This window comes from Homo sapiens, chromosome 10 (genome assembly GCF_000001405.40).
Source record: "Homo sapiens chromosome 10, GRCh38.p14 Primary Assembly".
NCBI classification, from domain to species: Eukaryota; Metazoa; Chordata; class Mammalia; order Primates; family Hominidae; genus Homo; species Homo sapiens.
In genome coordinates, this window is record NC_000010.11 from 122,828,299 (window position 1) to 122,851,421 (window position 23,123).

The 23,123-nt window shown below is 41.5% G+C and overlaps 2 protein-coding genes and 1 long non-coding RNA gene across 6 annotated transcripts in view, besides 3 other annotated features; all 3 read right to left on the reverse strand.

Annotated features, from left to right (window-relative positions):
• Positions 1-3,856: 3,856 nt before the first annotated feature.
• The window catches only part of FAM24B-CUZD1 (FAM24B-CUZD1 readthrough), a 47,487-nt gene continuing 28,220 nt past the window's right edge, over positions 3,857-23,123 (reverse strand). The window contains exons 3-11 of the long non-coding RNA NR_037915.1: positions 17,464-17,922; positions 12,880-13,030; positions 10,719-10,933; positions 9,106-9,256; positions 8,533-8,750; positions 7,880-8,052; positions 6,408-6,799; positions 5,374-5,642; positions 3,857-4,152 (exon numbers count right to left, since the gene is read on the reverse strand). This is a non-coding gene — a long non-coding RNA (FAM24B-CUZD1 readthrough). The remainder of the gene's footprint in view (positions 4,153-5,373; positions 5,643-6,407; positions 6,800-7,879; positions 8,053-8,532; positions 8,751-9,105; positions 9,257-10,718; positions 10,934-12,879; positions 13,031-17,463; positions 17,923-23,123) is intronic.
• CUZD1 (CUB and zona pellucida like domains 1) lies at positions 3,860-17,559 on the reverse strand. Of its 2 annotated transcripts, NM_022034.6 has the most exons (9): positions 17,464-17,559; positions 12,880-13,030; positions 10,719-10,933; positions 9,106-9,256; positions 8,533-8,750; positions 7,880-8,052; positions 6,408-6,799; positions 5,374-5,642; positions 3,860-4,152 (listed from the first exon to the last, which is right to left on the reverse strand). In NM_022034.6, exons 1-9 carry the CDS (start codon positions 17,543-17,545, stop codon positions 3,980-3,982), a joined length of 1,824 nt encoding a protein of 607 aa, NP_071317.2. In that variant the 5' UTR covers positions 17,546-17,559; the 3' UTR covers positions 3,860-3,979. The 2 variants fall into 2 exon arrangements, 1 of the variants encoding a protein (NP_071317.2); NR_037912.2 differs by lacking the exon at positions 12,880-13,030.
• Positions 17,347-17,848: an enhancer, noted in NCBI's record as "OCT4-NANOG-H3K27ac hESC enhancer chr10:124605161-124605662 (GRCh37/hg19 assembly coordinates)". NCBI's record gives its function as "activates a minimal SCP1, AML or CMV promoter by ChIP-STARR-seq in primed H9 embryonic stem cells {active_cell/tissue: H9 hESC(primed)}" and the evidence as "EXISTENCE:reporter gene assay evidence [ECO:0000049][PMID:30033119]".
• Positions 17,849-18,348: an enhancer, noted in NCBI's record as "OCT4-NANOG-H3K27ac hESC enhancer chr10:124605663-124606162 (GRCh37/hg19 assembly coordinates)". NCBI's record gives its function as "activates a minimal SCP1, AML or CMV promoter by ChIP-STARR-seq in primed H9 embryonic stem cells {active_cell/tissue: H9 hESC(primed)}" and the evidence as "EXISTENCE:reporter gene assay evidence [ECO:0000049][PMID:30033119]".
• Positions 18,415-19,296: an enhancer, noted in NCBI's record as "H3K27ac-H3K4me1 hESC enhancer chr10:124606229-124607110 (GRCh37/hg19 assembly coordinates)". NCBI's record gives its function as "activates a minimal SCP1, AML or CMV promoter by ChIP-STARR-seq in primed H9 embryonic stem cells {active_cell/tissue: H9 hESC(primed)}" and the evidence as "EXISTENCE:reporter gene assay evidence [ECO:0000049][PMID:30033119]".
• FAM24B (family with sequence similarity 24 member B) overlaps positions 20,780-23,123 on the reverse strand; it is a 30,564-nt gene continuing 28,220 nt past the window's right edge. The window contains exons 3-4 of one of the 3 annotated variants that reach the window (NM_152644.3): positions 22,126-22,252; positions 20,780-21,141 (exon numbers count right to left, since the gene is read on the reverse strand). In NM_152644.3, coding sequence (NP_689857.2) covers positions 20,949-21,141; positions 22,126-22,217 — 285 coding nt within the window. In that variant the 5' untranslated portion in view covers positions 22,218-22,252 and the 3' untranslated portion in view covers positions 20,780-20,948. The remainder of the gene's footprint in view (positions 21,142-22,125; positions 22,253-23,123) is intronic. The other 2 variants (NM_001204364.1, NR_037911.1) reach the window with 2 other exon arrangements.

A 23,123-nucleotide genomic window follows, 5' to 3' on the forward strand; every position in this document is an offset into this window, starting at 1 on the left:
GCTTCAAATGAATAAAGGAGCTTTTCCAAGTAATTGTAGGCTGCTAGAGTTTCTACTTTCAAAGTCATCTCCCTATTAACTGTATATATTCATAGCCCATAGCATGTTGAGGAAGTAGAAGATAACAGCTACCAAAACCTAGCATTTTATGACTTTTAATAAATCCCTAATATGAAACGTGTTGACAATGAAAGAACTAACATTTTAATAAACAAGGGTCCAAACGAACTTCCAGATCAGTTCCTCTTGGTGTGTGGTTCAAAGGATGGGATCCAGGAAGCAACCTTCTCCAAAAGCATTCCAGGTGATTCTCAGAAAGGCTGAAGTTTGAAAGCCATGGCCACCGTTCAGTTTTCCACACCTCATGGATCAAAATGCACTTCACAGGGAAAAGCCTGCAATCAGGAAACACCAATGGTACAGACCAAAAAGAACCAAGAAAAGCCTGCTCTCTCTAGCCAAAGGACCAGCAAAGGAGCAACTTAGCAAGACAGAAAACACTTAGATGAAAACTGTCCGACTCTAGCTAACTGCCATGGGAAACACTGTGGCCCCACCTTCATCCCAGCCAGCAAATGTTGAGTGGAGAGCCTAGACTTCTGACCTCCCCCAGCACTCCTTCTCTTCCCCTCCCTCATCCTGAGTGATGTCAGAGAAGGCAAAGCGGGCACTGGGATGCTCATCACCTCCAGGTAGTAATGAGACCCTCACCTCCAGCCCTCATGTCAGGTGCAGAGCAGGTAGTGAGGCTAGACTTCCATTTTTACCCCTACTTGGAAGAGATGAGGCACCCTTTTATTCTATCCTGGTTAGAGGAGGCCCAGTGGAGAGCCAGGACTTTCACCCCAACCCAGCAGTAATGAGGTGACCCCCCCTGCCTTGGGAAAGCAGAGGTAGCCTGGATTCCACCCCACCCCGCCCCTCTAGTTTGCATGTGCCTGGTATTCCATTGCGTATCCCTTCGTTTTTAGCCTCTCCAAAACACTTTGTTAGGTAAGTCTTTTGAATACGACGTACAGTTACTTTGTAAAATATTCTGAAAAGCCATCCCTTTTAGGAGTTGAGTAGAATGACCACTCTAGGGGTGACACCCAGATGTCCCCTCAGAGAAAGTCACTCATATCCAGACTGCTGGGAGTGTTGGCGGCTGGCGGCTCTCAGTGCCACCGCTCACCAGGAATTTCCCTCAGCTCAAGGCTTTGTCTAATCCAAGTTCACAGCCCCTCAGTCCTCAGGCAGCCCTCAGGCAACGACTGATCCACAGAAGCATAGACAGGTCTGAGCACCTTGCCTCAGTGGGGCACCTCTGAAGGGCAGAGCGGCCCCAGGACACCCTGGGGGAGTGGCTGGACCCTGCTGCTGCTGCAGCTGCTTCTTTGTGGGCCAACTCCCCTGCTTGGTTCTGCTTCCCTCCTAGGACACGGGGGCTGATCCCGAGCACACGCCTGAGGAAGCCTCCTGTACATCAGCCTCTGCGTCAGAGTCTGTTTCTCAGGAACCCAATCTATGCCAGGTGTGGCCCAAGCATATTAGAAGCAGATTCTAGAACGGGATTTTGGAGCTGGCAGTGAGAACTTCTCACTGATGGTAAGTGGAACATGGATGGCTCCTGACTACAAACACATTCTCTCTTTTTTAATCCTCACCACAGCCCCGGGGGGTGGTAGCTGCTACCAACCCGTTTATTTTATTTTTATTTATTTTTTTTATTTTTTTATTTTTATTTTTTTTTATTATACTTTAAGTTTTAGGGTACATGTGCACATTGTGCAGGTTAGTTACATATGTATACATGTGCCATGCTGGTGCGCTGCACCCACTAACTCGTCATCTAGCATTCGGTATATCTCCCAGTGCTATCCCTCCCCCCTCCCCCCACCCCACCACAGTCCCCAGAGTGTGATATTCCCCTTCCTGTGACCATGTGATCTCATTGTTCAATTCCCACCTATGAGTGAGAATATGCGGTGTTTGGTTTTTTGTTCTTGCGATAGTTTACTGAGAATGATGATTTCCAATTTCATCCATGTCCCTACAAAGGACATGAACTCATCATTTTTTATGGCTGCATAGTATTCCATGGTGTATATGTGCCACATTTTACCAACCCGTTTTAAATTATGGAGACCAAGGCTGAAGGTGACCTAGCTCATGTAACCCACCAGGTAAGTGAGAAGAACTAGAACCCGGGCCACCCACTCCAGACCTAGGAACTTTTATCACTTCTCTGGAGTCCTTTCTAAACAAAGAAAACTTAAATAGTAGCATACATATTGATAATGCATATGCACTGATATTGCAGATATACCTCAATAGCTCCACTACAAGTGATCTTATGATTCATGGTAATATGATTTTACACCATCTAGTGAGTCACAATATTTGATCATTTTCGTAGTGTTACACTTTTGTGCCTGATCTGCATCGGAATCCCTACCATGTTGGCCAGCAGGGAATGTCCAGTCAGTTCTGGATAGAGAGATGGCTGAAGGGCTGTGACCAGACCAGACTGTTTTTAAGCACTTAACCTGATTTGCCCATTCTAATTAAATGTTTAGGGGTTTTCACGTTAGGTTAAAAAATAACTTTACAGTCGTTCAACTTAGGCTACCTGGATGAACATAGAAGAGAGTCACTGTGTGGCTGCCTGACAAAGTATTAATATTTAGGAGATTGACATGGAGATATTGAAAAGAAAATGGGGAAGATCTGCTGTGATTTGGAGCTGGAAAATCAGTGTCCTAAGGGCATGTTCTGTGAGGGCAGAGATTCTATCACATCTCCCGTGTATTCTCTTCAGCATCCTGTAGATGCAATGCATGTTCAGAAGGAAAAATGCCTTTGGGCATTTGGGAATGTGGTTACCTGTTGGGATGCATGTTACAACCTGAAACTATGTGTGTTGTTAGATGATGAGAAAGAGTTGTGTTGATTGATCATCTAGGGTGATTAGATTCTATGTTTTCATGTGTAAAATCAGTGCACACTGGGGTCTTTCATTGTATTTGTTCAGTCACAGTAAATGGGAAAGTGTAAACCCAAACTGGCTACTCCTTGAGGACAATGAACCTTTGGCTTAGGTGCTTGATGGTGAAGGGGGAAAAAAAATGTTTTTATCTCATTAACCCAGAAACGGTATGAAGTCTCTCGTTTTATAGTCACATTTGTCTATCCAAAGCCCTTTCCTGAAATGCTTACAGTGAGAAATGCTGAGGCTCTGCATGAAAGCAGGAAGGCATGTGAATCAAGGAGACTGCGGTTCTCCTTCTCACACTTTAGTTTCAGAAATTCTAACTTTTGATGTTTCAAAGAGTAGCATATTTGCATCTAAAAAGTAAACACATCTATCTTTGAAGGCTACTTTTCTTAAGTAAAAATAACCTTTTTCTTTTCACCTAATATTTGGTTAAAATGTTTTGTATTTATAAAAGGAGGTGTTAATTCGTGTAATTTTTTGTTTTTTTTTTGTTTTTTTTTTTTACAGAGTTTCACTCTTGTTGCCCAGGCCAGAGTGCAATGGCGTGATCTTGGCTCACTGCAACCTCTGCCTCCCAGGTTCAAGTGATTCTCCTGCCTCAGCCTACCAAGTAGCTGGGATTACAGGCATGTGTCACCACACCCAGCTAATTTCTGTATTTTTAGTAGAAACGGGGTTTCTCCATGTTGGTCAGGCTGGTCTCCAACTCCTGACATCAGGTGATCCACCCACCTTGGCCTCCCAAAGTGCTGAGATTATAGGCATGAGCCACTGCGCTTGGCCTCATGTAATATTTTTGTATCTTTAGTTCGTAAAATGAGAGCCAATTGACGTGGTATTTATTTCCATCGTCTTGTAATGAAACACACCGACACAGTGACATGCAGGCCTGTGTGTCACTTTCAGGCCCTTCCTCATTTATTCATAATATGTGTAGCCACGAGGTAGCATTTCCTTTGGCATCCTGGAGAAACATGTCTCACTTAGGGTTGGACCTGTTAGTTAATAGTTCTGCAGCTTCTGGTATTTGTAGTCTGCCCGTTGATTTACAAAATGCCTCACTGTGATTGTCGCTACAGTCACCACATTCAGAGCTAGAACCATGAAGGAAAACAGATGCACACTGTTGAAAGGCTGGTTTGGAGTTTCTTCCGCATGTGTTTCATGCTGAAATCCTAAAATTGGAAACAAGATGAAAATCACTTTTTAAGAAGTGTTCACATTATAAAATGTTGGTAGCTTTTATAATACCTGTACATATCCTATGAATCTTATATATGAATTAATGTATAATGCATAATGCCAACACAATATAGAGGAACCATTATCAAATAGTTGAATTTATTTATATTTATATTTAATTTTGAACTTGTTTCAAATTGTTGACTTGGTTTGATTTCTCGGTATCACATGAAAAACGTGTAACACTCAAGCATAACAGTCAAATGGAAATGCAGGTTCACTTACTAATGGTCACTGTTGCTCATTGTTGCCAAAATACATTTTGTCAACAGAAAAAAAAAATTTGTTCATTCCCTTGAAATAGGAAAAAGATACTTTTCTCATATTGATGGTATTTCCATAATGACTTCCATTTATAAATTTTCAACTAATTTCAAACCAGCGTCTATAGATACACTATGTAAGCCACTAGTGAATGCGTTTATAAAATTACTGAATTTAACTTTTGTTTTTCTGTTTTTGCCATAGAAATATTTTGCTACAAACCAGAACCATACTCCTTTATAGTGCTAACAAAAATGAATAAATACAGAGATCATAAGGTCCTTTAATGCCATTTACAACTAAAATAACTTCTTATAGTTTTTCTTTCATTAAGGCTTATCTTAAGCCATTTAATTATGAACCTTCCTTGAGTATTTACCATCATTCCTTTCATGCATCTGGGCAGATCTCAGGTTTCAAGCCTTTCAAAAGAAGCAGGGTTAGCCTATGTTAATATAATAGATTCTTTGTCTTTTTTTTTAATAACTTTTTTTCAAATAGGCTATTATGTGGAATGCTGGTTCATTTTGTTTTACTCATTTAGGAGTTAAAACACATTGCTTTTGATTCAATTATCTGCTATGCCATCTATAATAAGGAGTCAGAAAACTAAAAGAAACTTGTTTTTAGAGATGAGGACATTACACTTATACTCAAAATCCAAATGAATAATGGCAAACTATCAGTGTATCATCTGCTTACACTGTACATGGTATGCATATTATCAACTGATGGAAATAAATACTAATCCTATATACTTAAAATTCAACTTATTTGCTAAAGCTACTATTATAAATCTCTAAACTGTACATGCTTAAGAGTTACTGGATTTGAGCAGCATTTTATGAGCCATGATGTGCTTTTGGATCATGGAATAGCTTTTTTCTTACCTGAATTGCCACTTGCACTTCGATCCCTTTTCAGACGAATGGGTCCTATGATGGAATCTGTTTTCCATTTATATGAAGAAATGTCTCGTTTGCTTCTGGAGACACAACCTTGATTGCAGCGAGACTGGTGGTCACTGCTATCACATATCAAAACTTTACACTGCAGATACACAGAGCTCATACTTCTCAAGAATTTAAAGGCATTAAACTGGAATCTCCCATAGTGTCCAAATAAGGGATACACCTTACAAGTTTCATCTCGACTACATCTGGAACAGAATTTATGAACATGTTTAGAAGATACAGACAAATTCAGTCTTTTCCATACTAAAAAGTTTTCTCTCAACTAAGTTGTGAATCCAAAAATCTCTCTCAAAAGACTGTCTCTAGTTCACACTACAGTGAGTTAAGACTATAGACCTGATTCCTGGGTGAGATAGCAAGGTTCTTTCTAGCTCTAAAATTCCTGGTCCATATAACTTAATCAGAAAACCAATACTTACGTATTGGAAGTCAAACTTCTTTCCTTACGTGCTTATCATTAATGTATCAGTACGAATGACGTAGTTAAAATCCAACAAATTGTAAGGAAAAAAGGAAATTGTTCCTTTCAAATAAGAACGTTATACTTTTTCTCTTAAGAATGCTACATATGTTTTACTGATGGCGTTATATTTTAAAGATAACGCACATGAAATAATCTTCTAGATTTTTGTTGAAAATAACCAAAACGTACAAAAACCAAAACGCAAATAGAGCTTTTATAACAGAAAATAAATTTGTTTCTACCAGCAAATATTTTGTGAATACACTTAAAATTCTAGATATAAGCTGTGTCTGCATAAATGTTTAAATTTAAATTATTCATAATTAGTACATAGTAACTATTTTATAAAATGATTAGAATAAATGTAATGAAATTTCATGTAGTGCTAGGAAAAATGTATATATACACAACACAAAAAATTACTTTATTGAAATTATTATTCCACAGGAAGGAATATCATACATACATCAGTTACATTAATACATACCCACTCTTGATTAGGTCGTAGGTTGGAGATGCAAAGTCAGAGGTGGGAGAGGCTCTACAGGTATCAAGAAACACCACCAAATTTGGATCTGAGGTGTGCAGACTAACTTGAACAAAAAGAGTTTGGTTCAAATCCACATAATATGGTGATTCAAGTATAGTCTTTTCAAATGAATTGGATTCAAAAAGAGCCATGCTGGTGTTATATTTGCCCAGTGCATTTTGACTTTGTATTACATCATCTTCTGTTATGTATATTATCTCCACTGTAGAATTATGTCCCATTTCACACTTCACAATAATCTGGAGTTGTTTCTGACGGGTGATCACTTCAGAAGTTGAGGATGCAGAAAAGGTGATTATATTGGTGTAAGTAATTGACTGATCTTCTACCTGCAGAACGAGATAGAATTCAATTTTTATATTTTAAGTCCAGTAATATTTTAGAGCATAGATGTGGATAACATTTGCAGGTACAGACATAATTTTCTTAAATCACGAGGTAACAGCTTTCATGTCAGAATACTATAAACCTTAAATGTATTTCATTGAAGAAATATTCTAGGAAAGAAAGTATGAGATGAGAAATACAGCTTGTATTAGAAAGACCTGAAGATAGAATCAGACAATTTTTTTCAGTTACAGTAAAATCCATTTTGATTGCAAATTTCCAGTCTTAAAAAGACATTACACCTTACTATATATTGCTTTCCTTAAAGAGCTTTAAGTTAGTGTGGCTAACTGGGCAGTTTCCAAAATATATGTAGACCAAGGGTCTGCAAGAGGAAGGCCCTTAGCTGCCTTCCCTGGGGGTTCACAGTGTAATAAAGACTGTGCGTTCATTTTTGGCAAGATACGATGATTTACTTCTGTCTTTATCAATTCCTCTGGATTAACCCCCATTCTTTTCAATTAGGTTACTGTTTAATGTCTGAGTGAAAACTTTATAGTATGTATCCTAAAGAGACCAAAGGTTGAAAATGTTTGAAATCTTGAATGGGACTTCTAGAAAATGGAGAACAAATCACAAACTTCCAGTAATATCCTTCATGTTTAAATGGGTTTTTTTAAATGTTTTTTTTTCCTGTCTTTAAAAGGAAAAGAAGAAGATCCTAAAAATTTAGCTAGATTTTCACTAAATACAAGGTGTAAACATTTTCTGCATAAGTGTTACTGGTAGGCTATTAAGCCAACTGCATATAGATGTTCGAACTCTCTTTAGTGAGTTTTCAGAGTTCTTTACCTTCTGGGAAAGATAACTATCCCCCACTTATCCTGAAAATGAATGCAGCAATTTGGCAGCTATGTATGAATGGGTATGTGCACTTATATGTCTTCACATGCTTATCATGTGGTTAAGCCACTAAAATTTGGGGGTCGTTTGTTACAGCAGCTAGCAAGCATTACCCTGACTGCATTGCTCAACATGCACTCAGCATTTGACAAAATCCAGCTATCAGTATTTCACTTTACCTTTCTGATTGTACCACATCCATTAAGAGGGACAGAAAATTCCACAACATTTGATAATTTTGGTCTGCAAGTTGGGTCTTTTAGTTGCAAGTTATTCCCATTAGAGTTAAAAGCCTCTAGGTAGGATTTGCTTATAATAACTCTCATCCTGTCAGAAGAGCAAGTTAAAGATGCTGTCAGGAAAAAAAAAAAAAAAAGAATGGTCATGTTTATGCCAGCTAGGAATGTTGGATCTTGAAGAGCTACGTGTGCAAGTAAATATATAAAAAGTCAAAACCATTTTGCCCTAAACAGTAATCATAAATTTGAGATAGCCAAGCAATTGATTCACCTTTTACTGTGTTCATTGTGACCTTGTTTAGAGCTAGAATCTGCAAACCTGATGTTTTTAATTGTGTCTTTGCAGAAGGAATTAAGGGAAACAGTCCATATTATCTGCATAAATCTTTTTCAGGTTAATAAAATCATTAATTTCCTCTTGCATTAAGCAATGCACAGAAATGATTGTCAAGCTTAAGATTATGAATATGTTCCCAACTACATGTGACATGCTTGCAAATAGGAATAGCCACAGGTAGGCTAAAAATTAACAATTTCTACATATGCAATCTTCGAAGAGCTCAAAATAGCTAAGAATATAAAACATGACTTACTAGTGTTGATGTTTTCTGCATAAATTGAGGTGTAGGAAGCAGAAAATCCCCGGTAAGAATTGGCATAATCTGTAGACAACACGACAGTCAGAGAGTTTGATGACGATTCGAAGGTGGGAGTCACACGGCCACAGACTTGTCCAATCAGGCCAGAGTTGGTGGAGGGGCCATCATAGATGGCAAGAAAATCAAATTTGCACTGTTTGTCTATTTCTAGGCTAGAGAATGAGGGCCTCTGGTGAAAAAGAGTTTCAAACCAATTCAATTCTATTTTCTAACATCCCAACAATCCTACTCTTAAGTGATTATGGATTTTTTTTTTCCTTCAATGGTATCTCAGGTTTACGAAGACAAACCTGGGGTTTTGATAGTCTCTGACAAGGACCTCAGAATCTTCAGAAAAATAGTCAACTTAGTTCAATGGAATAGTATCACTGTTTTCCTTTCTACATCAATTCTTTGAAAAGTGCCCATATATGAGAATTACGTATGATAATTTCTCTTCCCCAAATCCCCCAGTTGCCAGGTGGGTTTACTGCATTTGTTCCAACAGAATTGGGCAGCAGTACTTACAAAATCTCTTTGAAGTTTAGTTTTATCTTGTAATCTTTCTCCACTTGTATGTGCCACACACAATAAGCCAGCTCAGGATGCGGCTTTGGGTAATTGGGGCTGGTGAAGGATCCTTCCAAGGTATCCAGGTAACCGCCACAGTTTGGAATAGCTGAAATGGATGTGAAGGTGGTCAAGAATGAACATCAAAATAGAGACTGCTTTTAATTTCTGTGTTGTGCATTGAGCTTAACACATCTCTCCTGAGTATGATTCCATCTCTATCTTTCCCATGGGTCACATATTGAGGTTTTCATCCTTTTTTATCATTGAAATTTCTGTCCACTGGTGCAGGGCAGAGAGGGAATCTTTATACTATTGCCAAACGAATCATATTAAAGTTGTGCTGTAACATGTGTTGCATCTGGAGAGACTCCCATTACCTGAATTGCGCCATAGAAAATAAAGTCACACCCTCCCTTGAAGGCTCTTCCTCACTCTCACCAGCTCAGCTTTCCAGTCTCATCCGCCACTACTTCATGGCCTTCTGTTCTATCCTCCCTTTCTTCCCATGACTCCTCAGCTGTCAGCTCCAGCAGAGGTGAGTCCTCTTCCCTGACTCCCACCTCCACCTACCCTCGTCATGCTATTGTTCAAAGCTCAGCTCAGAAACAGCCTTCATGAAGCAGCCCTTGGTCTCTCCTTTCCCCAGTAAGTACATAAGGAAGCAGCTGGACAGATGAAATGTGGAGAAACAATGCAGAGAGCTCTTTTTGGAGCTGTAAAATGGTTTAGATTGGCTGAAGCATAGGGTGCACGCCAGGCAGCAGCTAGAGGCAAGGCTTGAAAAGGTGGCCTGGGTCCAGCGTGGGAAAACCTTGACTGCTGCACTCTGGAGATCTGCTGGTACCAAGAAGTCAGTGGTTTTAGCAGGAGAGTGACATGGTCAGCTCTGGGCCTTGGAAAGAAATCCACAGTGGAGCTCTCCTCATGAACCCACTCGCAGATGTTCTTGGCATTCTGCTTCGGATCACAGTGGAATGTAGGTGCTGTGAATGCAGAGCCCTGTAAATGTAGCCTCCAATCACCTGACAGTCTTAAATTTCAATGGTGAGCCCAGAGATTCCCAGCATGCACTCTCCAGTCTTCTTTGTCAGAATCATCCGGGGGACTTGTTAAACAGGAAGGTTCAACAACCCGAACCAAGATCTAAGGAATCAGAGCATAGGGAGGTGCAGTCCCTGAAGAGGCATTGCAGAAGATACCAGGGTTACTATTAAACAGGCTGAATGCAGAATCTCCGCTTTGGGCTCTAACACAGTACCCCTCAATATGTAGCCATCTGATCAGCCCCTTGTCTCTGCCTCATCTGGGAGCTAGTTAGAAAGTCAAGATCATGTGCTCCATCCAGAACCAATGAATCACAATATCTGTGATGGGGTCCAGGATCTGTGATTTAACAAGCTCTCCAGATGATTCTTATGCACATGTAAGTTAGAGAACTACTGCTCTCTCAGATAGAGAAGACTCTGAGGGAATATACTCAGACTGAAGATTATAAGAACCCGGACAGAAGAGTGTGTAACCTGTGCTTGTAGGAGATGTGGGTGAAGGTTGTGTAAATGAGGACTTACAGATGTTAGGAGAGAAGAAGTAGTAGAAGACAAAGACAGTTCTTTGAATTCTTGCTGAGTCAGTAACTATTTGAAACGTCAATGTACTGGATGATGATTCAAATACAGGAACATAGTCGTTTTTACTGCAGACTTGCCCTAGCAGAGGCCCATTGCTGGAGGTTCCGTCAAAGACTTTAATGTTTTCACTTTCACAGCTTCCATCTGGATCAAGCCTGTGGAAAAAACACAACTGTGGCTGAAGAAGTGTCACAAGCAAAGGGGGTTTGCAGAGCAGTCAATTGCTCACCTAGGCATGTAAATTTACAAAGTGGTGGCACATCTGTTTTCATTTAAACCTCTCCAAGACCAATCACCAACCCCACCATCCTCAACATCAAACCACAAACTGTCAACTTTAATGGGCTCAGGGAGATGAACTGCTTTGCCTATGTCTTGTATCAAGTAAATGATGAGGATGCGCCTGGAATCAGAATTCCTTTCCTTCTACCTGTTTCCATCTCTCCTGTTCCCCATGTCCATGTAACTCTTTGATGAACCTTCTTATTTAGAATTGTTTCCCATTGACACTTGATATCCAAGGCTGTTGAAAGGTGAAGCAACTCTTCTTCTTCCATAGCCACCTTTCCCAAGGAAAAGCAAACCTTAGCACCTCCCTAGTTGCTCCTTCCTTCCCTTGTATCACCACTTCCTCATTCTGAAGGACAGTCCCATGCCCTGCACTGGACAGGACAGCCCAGGGTTGTAGTTTGCTGCACATTCTGACAGGGTCTCTCCAAATATCCTCAGAGGACATATGTCCAAAATTATAGGAAGTAAGACAAGGGTAGAGAAATCTGGGTTCTCTTTCCACTTTAGTCACTTACCTGCTGTATAACTTTAGATAAGTGATTTAACCTTTCTTGGCTTCAGTTTTCTCATCTGTAAAATGGGGATATCACAGCCTACTTCTCATTACTGTGTGAAGTTTATAATATTCTGAATATGAAGCACCTGCCACAGGCCTGGCACATAGGTGTTCAATAGATGTTAAATGTTAATTTCTCGCCTCCCTTGCTCTTCCCACAATTTCTCTTCCCCTCTCTTCTTACACAGCAAGAATAGCATATATGTTTCTCAGCAACCATTCCAGGAAATTTGAGGCCTCTTTTGCTTCTTTGAAGGATAAAGTAAATTCCAACTTCAGTGGTACAGGGCTATGGTTCTCAAAAGTGTGGTACTTGGACCTGCAGCATCAACATCACCTGGGCATTTGTTAGCTATGCAGATTCTCAGGTCCCACACACTCCATTTGAATAAGACAATAGAGACTTTGGTGGTGGGGCCCAGCAGTTGTGTTTTAATAAGCTTGCCACAGGCTTCTGATGTATGGTCAAGTGTAAGAACCACTGGGACAGGCGTAAGAGGGGGGCTCTGGAGCCAGGCTGCTTGGATTCAGTTCCTATCCCATTTTTATTATTTTTTAGTCTTGGACCTGGTGACTTCTCTGTGTTTTCTTATCTATAGAATGGGGATTAGACTGCATCTGCCCAGAGCGTTGTTGAGAGGATTAACTAGAGGCAGATAGGAAACACTGAGCGTCTCTGCAGGGCGGAGTCATGTTCTCAGCTTGGCCTCACACTGGGGTCACCTGGGCACTTATAAAAAGCACTTATAAATGTATACTTATTTCAAAATAAAATCTATAAAATAAAAAATATTGATGCCTGGAGTCTACCCCCAGAGATTATAATCTAATCATATGGTGTACAGCCTGGGAGTCTGGATGTGTGAAAGCTCCTCCACTGATTCAAATGCATAGAAAAATTTGGAACCAAAGTTTAGTGTTTTAAGGCCAAGAAACTGGAACTAGACCAGCTAGGTTCTAACTCTGGTCATGCTATTCACTATTTGTGTGACCTCAGACAAGTTCTCAACCTTGTTGTGTTTGTAGTACTATTATAGTGCTGACCTTGAAGGACCTCTGTGAGCCAGTGCCGGGCACACAGCCATCATCAGTGACTATCAGCCATCATCCTCATCACCATCATCATCACGATGGTTGTCAGTGTCACTACCACCTCTAGCAGCAGCTGAATTCTTTCTACAGAGAGTCCCCCTACCCACCCCAATGTGGTCAGAGTTCGATATCCCTTATTAGGAAACTAAAGCTTCTACTTACTGGACATAGGAAAAGATAATTCTGATGCTTTTGTTTTCTGGTCTTTCTATTGTCCAGGTGCAGTTCTCACTGGGATTGAGTTGCAGGATCATGGCTTTGTGGGTCTCTGCCATATTGGCACCCCCTAGACTGACTGTGCAGCTTGCATTGCCTGTTAGAGATCACAGATGGCACTCAGGAAAGTCAACAGGCCCTTTCCCCTCCCTGAGAGATTAGGAATCTACCTCTCACATGTAATATACATACAAGTAGGCAGCTAATTGTGGATGGTACTTAGCTTTCTCCAAAGTAAGTCAAAAGCAGTTGATTTCTCCGTCTTGAACCCTTTGAGGAGAAGTATTTTTAACTTCTCTACATATAGAGACTATATTAGGACCCGAAGAAGGATGGTTTGTATTTTTAATAGGTTTCCATATGAACATGTGTCTTTATTTCTCTAGCATAAATACCTAGGAGTGATATCACCAGGTCATATGTTAAGTGTATATTTAACTGCATAAGAAACTGCCAAACCATTTGCCAGAGTAGCTGTTCTATTTCACAATCCAACCAATGATGTATGAGAGTTCCAGTTGCACCACATTCTTGTCAACACACACTATTGTCAGGTTTTTGTATTGCTTTGTATAGCCATTCTAACAGATGTGTAGCAGCATCCCATCATGGTTTTAACTTACATTTCCCTAATGGCTAATGACATTGAACATCATTTCATGTTCTTATTTGCCTTCTATATATCCTTTTTGGTAAGTATCTCTCAGTCTTTTGCCCTTTTTTTTTTAACTTGGCTTTTTGTTTTCATGATTGGGTTTTGAGAGTTTTTTATATATGCTGAATACAAGTCCTTTGTTGCATCTGCAATTTGAAAATATTTTCTCCCAATCTGTATCTTGTCTTTTCATCCTCTTAACAGTGTCTTTCCCAAAACAAAAGTTTTAAATCTTTTATAAAGTCCAATTTAGTAATAGTTTCTTTTATGGGTTGTGCTTTTGGTGTCTTGTCTAAGAACTCTTTGCTCAACCCCAGGTTACAAAGATTTCTCCCATGTTTTCTTTTTAAAAATACTATAGTTTTACATTTTACATTTAGATCTATGATCCATTTTGAACTAATTTATGTGTAAGAAATGAGGCTTAGGTTGAGTTCATTTTTTGCATATGGGTGTCCAATTGTTCCAAGACCATTTGATGAAAAGGCTGTCCTTTCTCCATTAAATTGCCTTTGCACCTTTGTCAAAAATCAAAGGACCATATTTGTGTGGATCTATTTCTGAACTCTATTCTATTTCAATTTTCTCTGTCTATCCTTTTGGCAAACCACACCTGCTTGATTACTGTAGTTTATGTTATTACTGTAGGTAACATGACTGTTCCAACTTTACTGTTCTTTTGCAAAATTTTTTTGGCTATTCCAGTTCCTTTGCTTTTTCAATAAATTTTAGAGTCAGCATGTCTGTATCTATTTAACATTCTTACTGGGATTTGTATTGGAATTGCACTGAATTTATAGATCAACCTGGGAAAAAAAGGATGGTTTTTAAAAGACACTTGATTTCTAGAATGTATAAAGAATTCTTACAATTCAATAACTAAAAGGCAAATAATCCAATTTAAAATGGACAAAGAACCAGAATAGACATTTTTCCAAAGAAGATCTATAAATGGCCAATATGCATGTAAAGATATATTCAGCATCATTAGTCATCAGGGAAATACAAATGAAAACCACAACGAGATATCACTTCACATGCATTAGGATGGCTAGAGTCAAACACAGAAAACAGCAAGTGTTGACAAGGACATGGAGAAACTGGAATGCTTATACACTGCTTATGGGATTGTAAAGTGGTACAGCTGCCATGGAAAACAGTCTGGCAGTTCCTCAAAAGAGTAAACATACAGTTATCATAACCCAGCAATTCTATTGCTAGGCATATCCCCAAAAGAAATAAAAACAAATGTCCACATAAAAACTTGTATACTATATTCATCGCAACATTAGTCATAATAAGCCAAATGTTCATCAATTGATGAATAAATAAAACATGGTCTATCCATACATTGGAATATTATTCAGCAATAAAAAGAAATGAGGTACAGTCATCCCTTGGTGTCCACGAATGATTGGTTCCAGGACCCCCTGTGGATACCAAAATCCATGGATGTTGGAGTCCCTTATGTAAAATGACAGTGTTTGCATGTGACCTACACACATCCTGTACACTTCAAAACATCTCTAGATTATTTATAATACAGTGTAAATGATGTGTAAATAGTTGTTTACTATATTATTTAGGAAATAACAGCAAGGAAAAAAGTTTGTACATGTTCTGTAACCAACCCTTATTTTTTCAAATGTTTTCAATTCATGGTTGGTTGAATCCATGAATGCTGAACCCACAGGTACTGAGGGCTGATTGTACTGATACATGCTACAATACATACGAACCTTGAAAATATTATGCTAAGTGAAATACCACATATTACATGATTTCATTTATGTGAAATATCCAGAATAAGTAAATTTATAGAGACAGAAAGTAGAGTAGTGGTTTCCTTGTGCTGGAGACATCAGGAGAAATGGAGAGTGAATGGTAGTGAATACAGACTTTCTTCATACATATATATACATACATATATATATATATATATATATGTCCACACAGAAACTTGTACACTAATATTCATCACATTAGTCTATATATAATATACAGTTATATATATTGTTAGATATATTTATATATATATAAAACATTGGTCTATATATAGAGACTATATATATAGACTATATAAAGACTATATATAGACTATAGAGAGACTATATATATAGAGAGACTATATATAAATATATATATATATAGAGAGAGGGACAGACAGAGTCTCACTCTGTTACCTATACTGGATTGAGATGGCACAATCATAGCTTACTGCAGCCTCAAACTACTGGGCTCAAGTGATCCTCCCACCTCAGCCGCCAGAGTAGCTGGGACTACAGTCATGTACCACCATGCCTGGCTAAAAAAATTTTTTTTTTAATTTTGTAGAGTCGAGGTCTCACTACGTCGTTCAGGGTGGTCTCAAACTCTCAGCCTCAAGCAATGCTCCCATGTCAGCCCCCCAAAGTGCTGGGATTGTAGGCTTGAGCCATCATGCTGAGCCTGAGACAGTTTCTTTTGGGGGTGAAGAATATGTTCTGGAATTAGATAGTGGTGATTGTTGCACAATTCTGTGTATATACTAAAAAACACTAAATTGTATACTTTAAAATGGTGGATTTTATGGTATGTTAATCATATCTTAATAAAGCTGTTATTAAAAAGGAGAAAGAAGAGAAGAAAGAGAAAAGGGGAAGAGGAAAAATAACTGGATCCTAAAGATAAGCTGTTAGCAGTGAAATTACCCGGTAAGGGGCTGGGCGTGGTGACTCACACCTGTAATCCCAGCACTTTGGGAGGCCAAAGCGGGTGGATCACTTGAGCTCAGGAGTTCGAGACCAGCCTGGGCAACATAGTGAAAATTTTTTTCTATAAAATTTTTAAAAATTATTTGGTAAATTCTTATATTTTTATGTATGTTGTCAGATGGGCCCAAATAAAATTAGTACTAATTCAAAATCCCACCAAGATTTTGACTAATGGTCAAAAACCCCACCTACATAGGAACAAAGCTTTATTTTTATTTATTCTCCCATATACTCCCATAACCCCATCCATCCAGAAACAATCATCACTAAAACCTTGGTGTAAATTCTTCCACTCCTTTTCCTTTCCTCTTCTATTTCTAGACATTTAAAATGCTTGAATGTATATATTTCAAACATAAGAACCATCATATTGTACACAAACTTCAGATCTCTTTTTTCTCTTAATGTGGTCTATGGACACATTATAGATCAGAGTCTTTTTTTTTTTTTTTTATGAGACGGAGTCTTGCTCTGTCACCCAGGCTGGAGTGCAGTGGCATGATCGCAGCTAACTGCAACCTCCACCTCTCGGGTTCAAGCGATTCTCCTGCCTCAGCCTCCCGAGTAGCTGGGACTACAGGCACGCATCACCACACCTGGCTAATTTTTGTATTTTTAGTAGAGATGGGGTTTCACCATGTTGGCCAGGCTGGTCTCGAACTCCTGACCTCGTGATCCACCCACCTTGGCCTCCCAAAGTGCTGGGATTACAGGCGTGAGCCACCGCCCCCAGCCATCATTTTTTTTTAAGTTGCAAAAAAGAGTGTTCCATTTTATGGATTTACCGTAAGAAATAATGAAAATTCATGTTGTAGTTTACAATTATGTAAGTGCACATATTTATACATATATCTTTGGACACTTTTATGCTTATTTCCAAAACATAAACTCTTAGCAGTAAATTACTCAGTAAAATTCTATACACTTTTGATATTTTTATGGACATTGTCAGATGAGCCAAATAAAATTAGAACTAATTTAAAATCCCCTCCAAGAGCATTAGAGTACATTTTTCTCTGAACTGGGGCCAACAGATATAAACACTTTGAAAAATTTTGAAAGAGGCCTCTTAAGAGAAGAACTTCTCTGTTTTGGTGAATAAATCTGGTTCAATTTTCTTACCTTCAGCCTCCGCCATTGTCAGCTCCGCCAAACAGGAGAGAATTAAGAGGGTCAATGGCATGAGCCTTCTTACAAGCTCCATTTTGGCAAGGCGCTGGGCAGCCTTAAGGACCGACAGCTTTTATAGGCTCTGTGTTACATCAGCTTTCTGGACACCTCCAGGGAAACGTCAGTTCCAGCCACGCAAGGGGTAGATTTGTGTGAGAATAGAGCAGCTGTGTGACTGGTTTATCAGCATTCCCCACAGTGAGGGTTCTCTCTCCCCAACTCCTTCCTGGAAGGGTTGCCCCCAGTGGAAGCTCTCTGTAGGGATCTCCAGCAGCTGGTTCCCAGCAGGCACTGAGTTATTTTCCATGAAACTGATGGGGAGCTGTGCCTTTCTTCTGTGCCTGCACATCACAAACAGGTGGCCTCATTGACATCATTGAAGTCTTCAGGGCTCTGCTTTGAGAAGGGAGCCTGTGGGAGAACAAAGGCCTGTGGGGCAAGGCAGGGGGTGCAGCACCTGGGCAAAATCTGGGTCCAGCTGGGACATTCAGATGCCCTGCCAGGTGGCTGACCCTGTGGGGGAGGGGAAGAGGGTAGAGGATGAAGAGAAAAAGAGTGCAGATCCAGATTCCCCCACAGCGATTTCTAACCAGTTATGTCTGGAGAGACTGAAGCAGGTGAATTAGTCTCTCGGGCACGGTGTTTTGCAGTTGAGAGAAAGAAATCCTAGTGTCCACATTGAGATTGGGAGGAGCAAGTGGTGGTGGGTGGGGGCTGCCCTCTTTTCATTCATTCAGTCAGTAAACATTACTTATTGATCTAGGGCCTAAGCAATATAGAATTGAATGTGAGAGACACAGTCCTGCCCTCATGAAACTTGTATTCTAAGTGGAGAGTTAAACAACAAAAATAAATGAAGAATTCAACTGGTGAGAGGAGCTAAGGATACAATAAACAGGATGACTGCATAGATGGTGGTTGCCTTGGGGTGGGGAGGAAATATGACAGTGAGAAGGAGGGCATCTTGAGAGATGAAATCTGAACAAAGGCAGAAAGACAAGAGGGAGGCATTCATGGGTGATCTGAGCTTGGGGGCTGCATCTTAGGCAAAAGAGAGGGCAAGTGCACAGGCCCCGAGGCAGAGACCAGGTGGGCACACCTACAATAGTAGGGAATAAAGAACAGCCTGGCTGGTCATGAGTGGGAGGAGTGAGCTGGGAGGGGAGGATGGAGAGGAGCAGGTGAAGGTCAGATGGGGAAGGACCCATAGGGCAAATGAGTCTGGTTTTCACTCTAAGTTCAGGTGGAACATATTGAGTGGACAATGCCAGGACTGGCTACTTTCTGAAGAACCTTTGTGCAGCTCTGGGGAGGTCTGACGCTCGTGTAGGCTAAGTCTCCTAGGGTGAAACCCTCTGGCTACCGTCAGCCCCTCTGTGTTGTTCTGACTGTGCTGCAGCCCAGGAGGCCTCCCTAGGGAGAGCACAGTCCTACGTTGTGACCCAGGGGATCCATTCCTCGTTGGACCCTTGCAGGGGAAAGGCAGCACCTGGGATGCTCAGGAGGAGCTTGGACATACCCCAAGGCCCCTGCCTTGCTCTGCTCCATTCCTATCTGCCCGGGCTGGCTGTGGATGAGGCAGGACTGGGTGTCCTGGGGTGAGTTAGCAGGCCACAGGTGTTTGAGATGGGGGACCCTTCTGGTTACTAAGCGCTTGCAGCTGTGTCCATGGATACCCACTCCCACCCTGGGCTTTCCCTCTGAACCCCTCTTTGTCACCCATGGCTGGGATCTCCAACATCCCTAATCCATCTCCACTGAGTGCGAGAGTTTCATGGCCACACTCTGTTAGGTGGCCCTGGCAAAGGACCCAGGCTTCCAGATCCAGTCAGGAGAGAAGCCCCCTTCAGGCCTCTGGCAACTTCCTGGGGACCACGGGGTGCTGTGGGGTCACCCTGCATCATCTCATTGCTTCTTCTCTGTCACCTGTGCAAGTCCGCACTTCACATCAAGGACACAGAGGCTCAGATGAGTCAAGGGACTTCCCCTGGTGAAGGCCGAATTGGGATGGGAACCGGCTCCATAGGGCTCTAAAGCCCATGTGCGGTGCTCTGTCCTCCTGCTAATGGGGGTGTCCTGAAGACCTTTGTCCCACCTCCCTCACGGCCCCCGCAATACCTGCACCAGGTATAGTCACCCACATGGGGAGGCCCTGGCACAGGCGTCCTGGATCCAGGCACTGGGCCACCCACTGGGTGGGGTAAGAGGGGATTTGTATGTGCTCCATCTGTCAGAGCTGGCTGGTGACAAGAGAAAATCAAAGGCAGGGGACAGAGACAGTGCCCGGAAACTTAAGGGGGACAGGTGACCTCCAGCTGGAGGCTGCCCTGACTTGGCCTCTTCCCAAGCATGCTGGGGCTGGAGGCTCAGCCTCCAGGAGGTGCTCGGCGTCTACAGGCAGCTCCTCCACCCACATCTGGCCTGTTTCTGTGCCTAGCTGTCACAGCTGTTTCCTTCATTTGCGACTTCTGTTTTCCTTTTTACCCCCTTTTAGTAGATTACCACCTGTTACTAGCTAATAATTCTTTACATTCAGTATACATGTGATGGTCACAAGCAAGGGTTTAGTTCATGAGAGGAGTGGACATGGCGGTTACAGATAGGGAATCATGCTTAGAAAGGGGTTCCAGGAGGCTCAGGGGCAGGAGCTGGAACAGAAGGCAGCTGGGAGTAAAGTGGGGAGGAGTGCTTCCTGCCACCTGCTGTTGTGGTCAGGGAGTCTGGGCTTTGGCCTTTGGCTGGTGGTTCGTGTTACAGTTGAAGATGTTGATGGCTGGATCAACACACATCACTGTTACCGTAATCCACGCAGGAGCCACATGCTCTGGAGATTTGGGGATTGCAGTAGGAAGAAACTGGTTTTCAAAAGGTCCTTTTGAGGTCACTGAGCTCAGGCCTATCTTACACAGGTCAGACAACTTTAACACAGGGAGGTCCTGCCTGGCTCCTCTCACTGTCTTGGATAAATGGACAGGACAACAGGACAGGTATCAGGACATGACACCATTTTCTGCGGTGGATGTCAACCATCCAAGCCCTCACGAGAGCTAAACGAGCGACTCCAGCTGGACAAGATCAGCTGGGCTGAAATTGGAAGTGTCCTAAGAACAGTGTGCATTTTCCTTCTCGGGTGGGAGATGTGCTGGACACTTTTATTCCAATTCTCTTTCTTCTATTGCAATGCTACAAGCTAATCCCCCCCCACATTCCAAAGTGAGTAATAAATATATTTAAACAAAGGATGTTTATAATCAACAATCAAAAAATATTGGCAGCAAAGAGGATTATTTTTAATAGTGTACATTTATTCAAAAGTATATAAAACAACACTGTAAATTATATAATCTCACATAAAAACACTAGAACTTGATTTGAATAACAAAACAATCTACTAAGAAGTATTGCTCATGAAGATTTTTGTGCCCACCTTTCCTAACTCAGAGGCCCTCATTTATGTCGCAACAGCAAGGTGGCAGGGAATCAAAACTGGCACACATTCTATATCCTTCACAGCACTGCAGGGCAGGACAAGACTCCGTGGCAATGGTTTTGGCCTGGCTGTTCTTGGCCCACCACACCTTGTCTGGGTTGTGATTTTTTACAGCCACAGCTTCAGGTTCCTTTGCAGCTCTTGAGAAAAGACACACACAAAGCACAGGCTTAGAATTTTTCTTCTCAGCCCTTTTGTTAGAACTGTTGGGGGGTATCTGGGGAGTTTAGTGCTGAAGCCAGTCAAACATGAACACCAGCCCTACATTAAAGCTCTCTCCCCCATCCCAAGTTCCTCTCGAATCCTTTCCTCTTCTATGATTGCTATAAATGTAAACTGAGGTTACAAAAGCAAGAGTGAGTGATTTTGCAAGCAAGGTCACCCAACTGGTCACTGCAGGCCCCCGAGATGCAGGAATGATGGGAAGGTGCTGCATTTGGCTGTGTCCCAGGCTCCGGGATGTGCCATTGTGAACTCCTTAGAATGGGGACACAATTGCATCTGACAACCAATCTCTCTGGTACTTAAAGGGTCTTCTCCCCAAAATGCAATCTTATCTGACCTACCCTCCCTTGTCCACTGTTCCCCAGGTTTTTCACACGGTTCAGCTGTCCCTGAGATCTAGAGCCCCAGTCATTTTCCCCAAGGCCTCCAGAAACAAATGGAGGAATATCCTGAGAGCTCCCAATTCAGGCAAGAAGAGATCAATCCAGCCCGTCCTCCACATGAGCACAAGGCAGAGCTCGTTCATGCAGCCTCCCCCACAGAATCTGCAGCCTACAGTGCCCAGGACAGAGGGAGTCTTGGCCAAGGTGCTGAATTAAACACCTGATGGTAAACTTAGTGAGGTCCAGTGACAGCCAAGCAGCGCTGACACTCACAGGCCAAAGCTGAGAACATTCTACCAACCCCAGCCAGGAAGAAAAAAAATAAGATTCTACACTCAGCTGTCTTTGCTTTTACAAAGCTGCCTGTTCTTCTTGACTTCACCCAGGGTATGGCCACAGCAGCAAGGAATGACCTTGCTCCAACAGGAAGCCCAGGTATCCCACTGAGGAAGTGCTATCCCCTTTTCCCCATGTGACTCACTTTAGTACGTTGTTTATTTTGAACTTGTGACTCACTTTAGCGCGTTGTGTATTTTGAAGTAAAGACAGAGCACGACAACTATCAGCAGGAGCAAGGCCGCCAGGATACCACCAGCGATGACAGGCATAATCACTGTATGGAGGTCAAAAGACTTCGATGTACCTAGGCAGATAAGTGCAAGCAAGCACTGAGCCCACGTGGTCTCCCTCCCCACACAACCACTAAGCAATGCCAATGTCAGGGGAGGAAGAAGAAACCCCAAACACAGATCCTTATGTGTGTAAAACACAAATGTCTTCCCAGGGCGGCCTAGGATCCCAAGCTGGCCCAGAGATGGAAAAAAAGAAATAAAAAAAGTCAGTTTGTCAATGAAAAGGAATGGAAATGCAAAGTCCAGAGAGAAGGCTATCAGAAGGACAAACAGTGGGAAGAATCTTTCCCTTTCACAGGTGTGATATGCGGCTGGAAATAACAAGCAGGCCTGCAGTGGAGCTGATGGCGTCACTCCCCAGCACCTGGGCCTCCTGAGCTATACTCATTTTCAGAGTCAGAAATGACCCCCCACTGGATATCAGGCTCAAAGCTCTTCTGTGGAAATGACTGTTTCCAAATGTTACTGTCCCAACAATACTGAGAATATGCAAATCCATTTTGTAAATGATGCATGTTTTAGGAAAAGAACTTTACAATTCTTCCTCTGACAACTGGCATTTTTCCTCCTAAATCTTAAATTCTCCCAAGAAATCCAATTTGAGATAATAAATTAGTTTAACTTTCTGAAACTGGGAAAAAGTGAGTCAGGGGAGAAGAATAAACAATCTGATTGCCAAAGCATACTTACCACCTTCTAACTCCTCATGGCTGGATGAAAGCCAACAGTAAAAAAAAATTACAATCAAAGTAAACTTTAGGGAACAGGACATCTCATCACGAATTTCTCAAACCTTTAATTTGAGAAAGAAAATTCTAATGATTAACATCCAAAGTTGAAGAGCTTGCTTTTAGAAGCAGTCTTCCAGCAGAGCTAGCAGAA

Bases quoted from the DNA above. Each gene is read 5' to 3' on its own strand.
- CUZD1 (NM_022034.6), bottom strand. From the start codon at position 17,545: ATGGAGCTTGTAAGAAGGCTCATGCCATTGACCCTCTTAATTCTCTCC. The intron at 13,031-17,463 runs GTAAGAAAATTG...GATCTCTAACAG, and splicing joins GACAATGGCGGAGGCTGAAG to GCAATGCAAGCTGCACAGTC. The intron at 8,751-9,105 runs GTAAGTACTGCT...CTCATTCTCTAG, and splicing joins CTAAACTTCAAAGAGATTTT to CCTAGAAATAGACAAACAGT.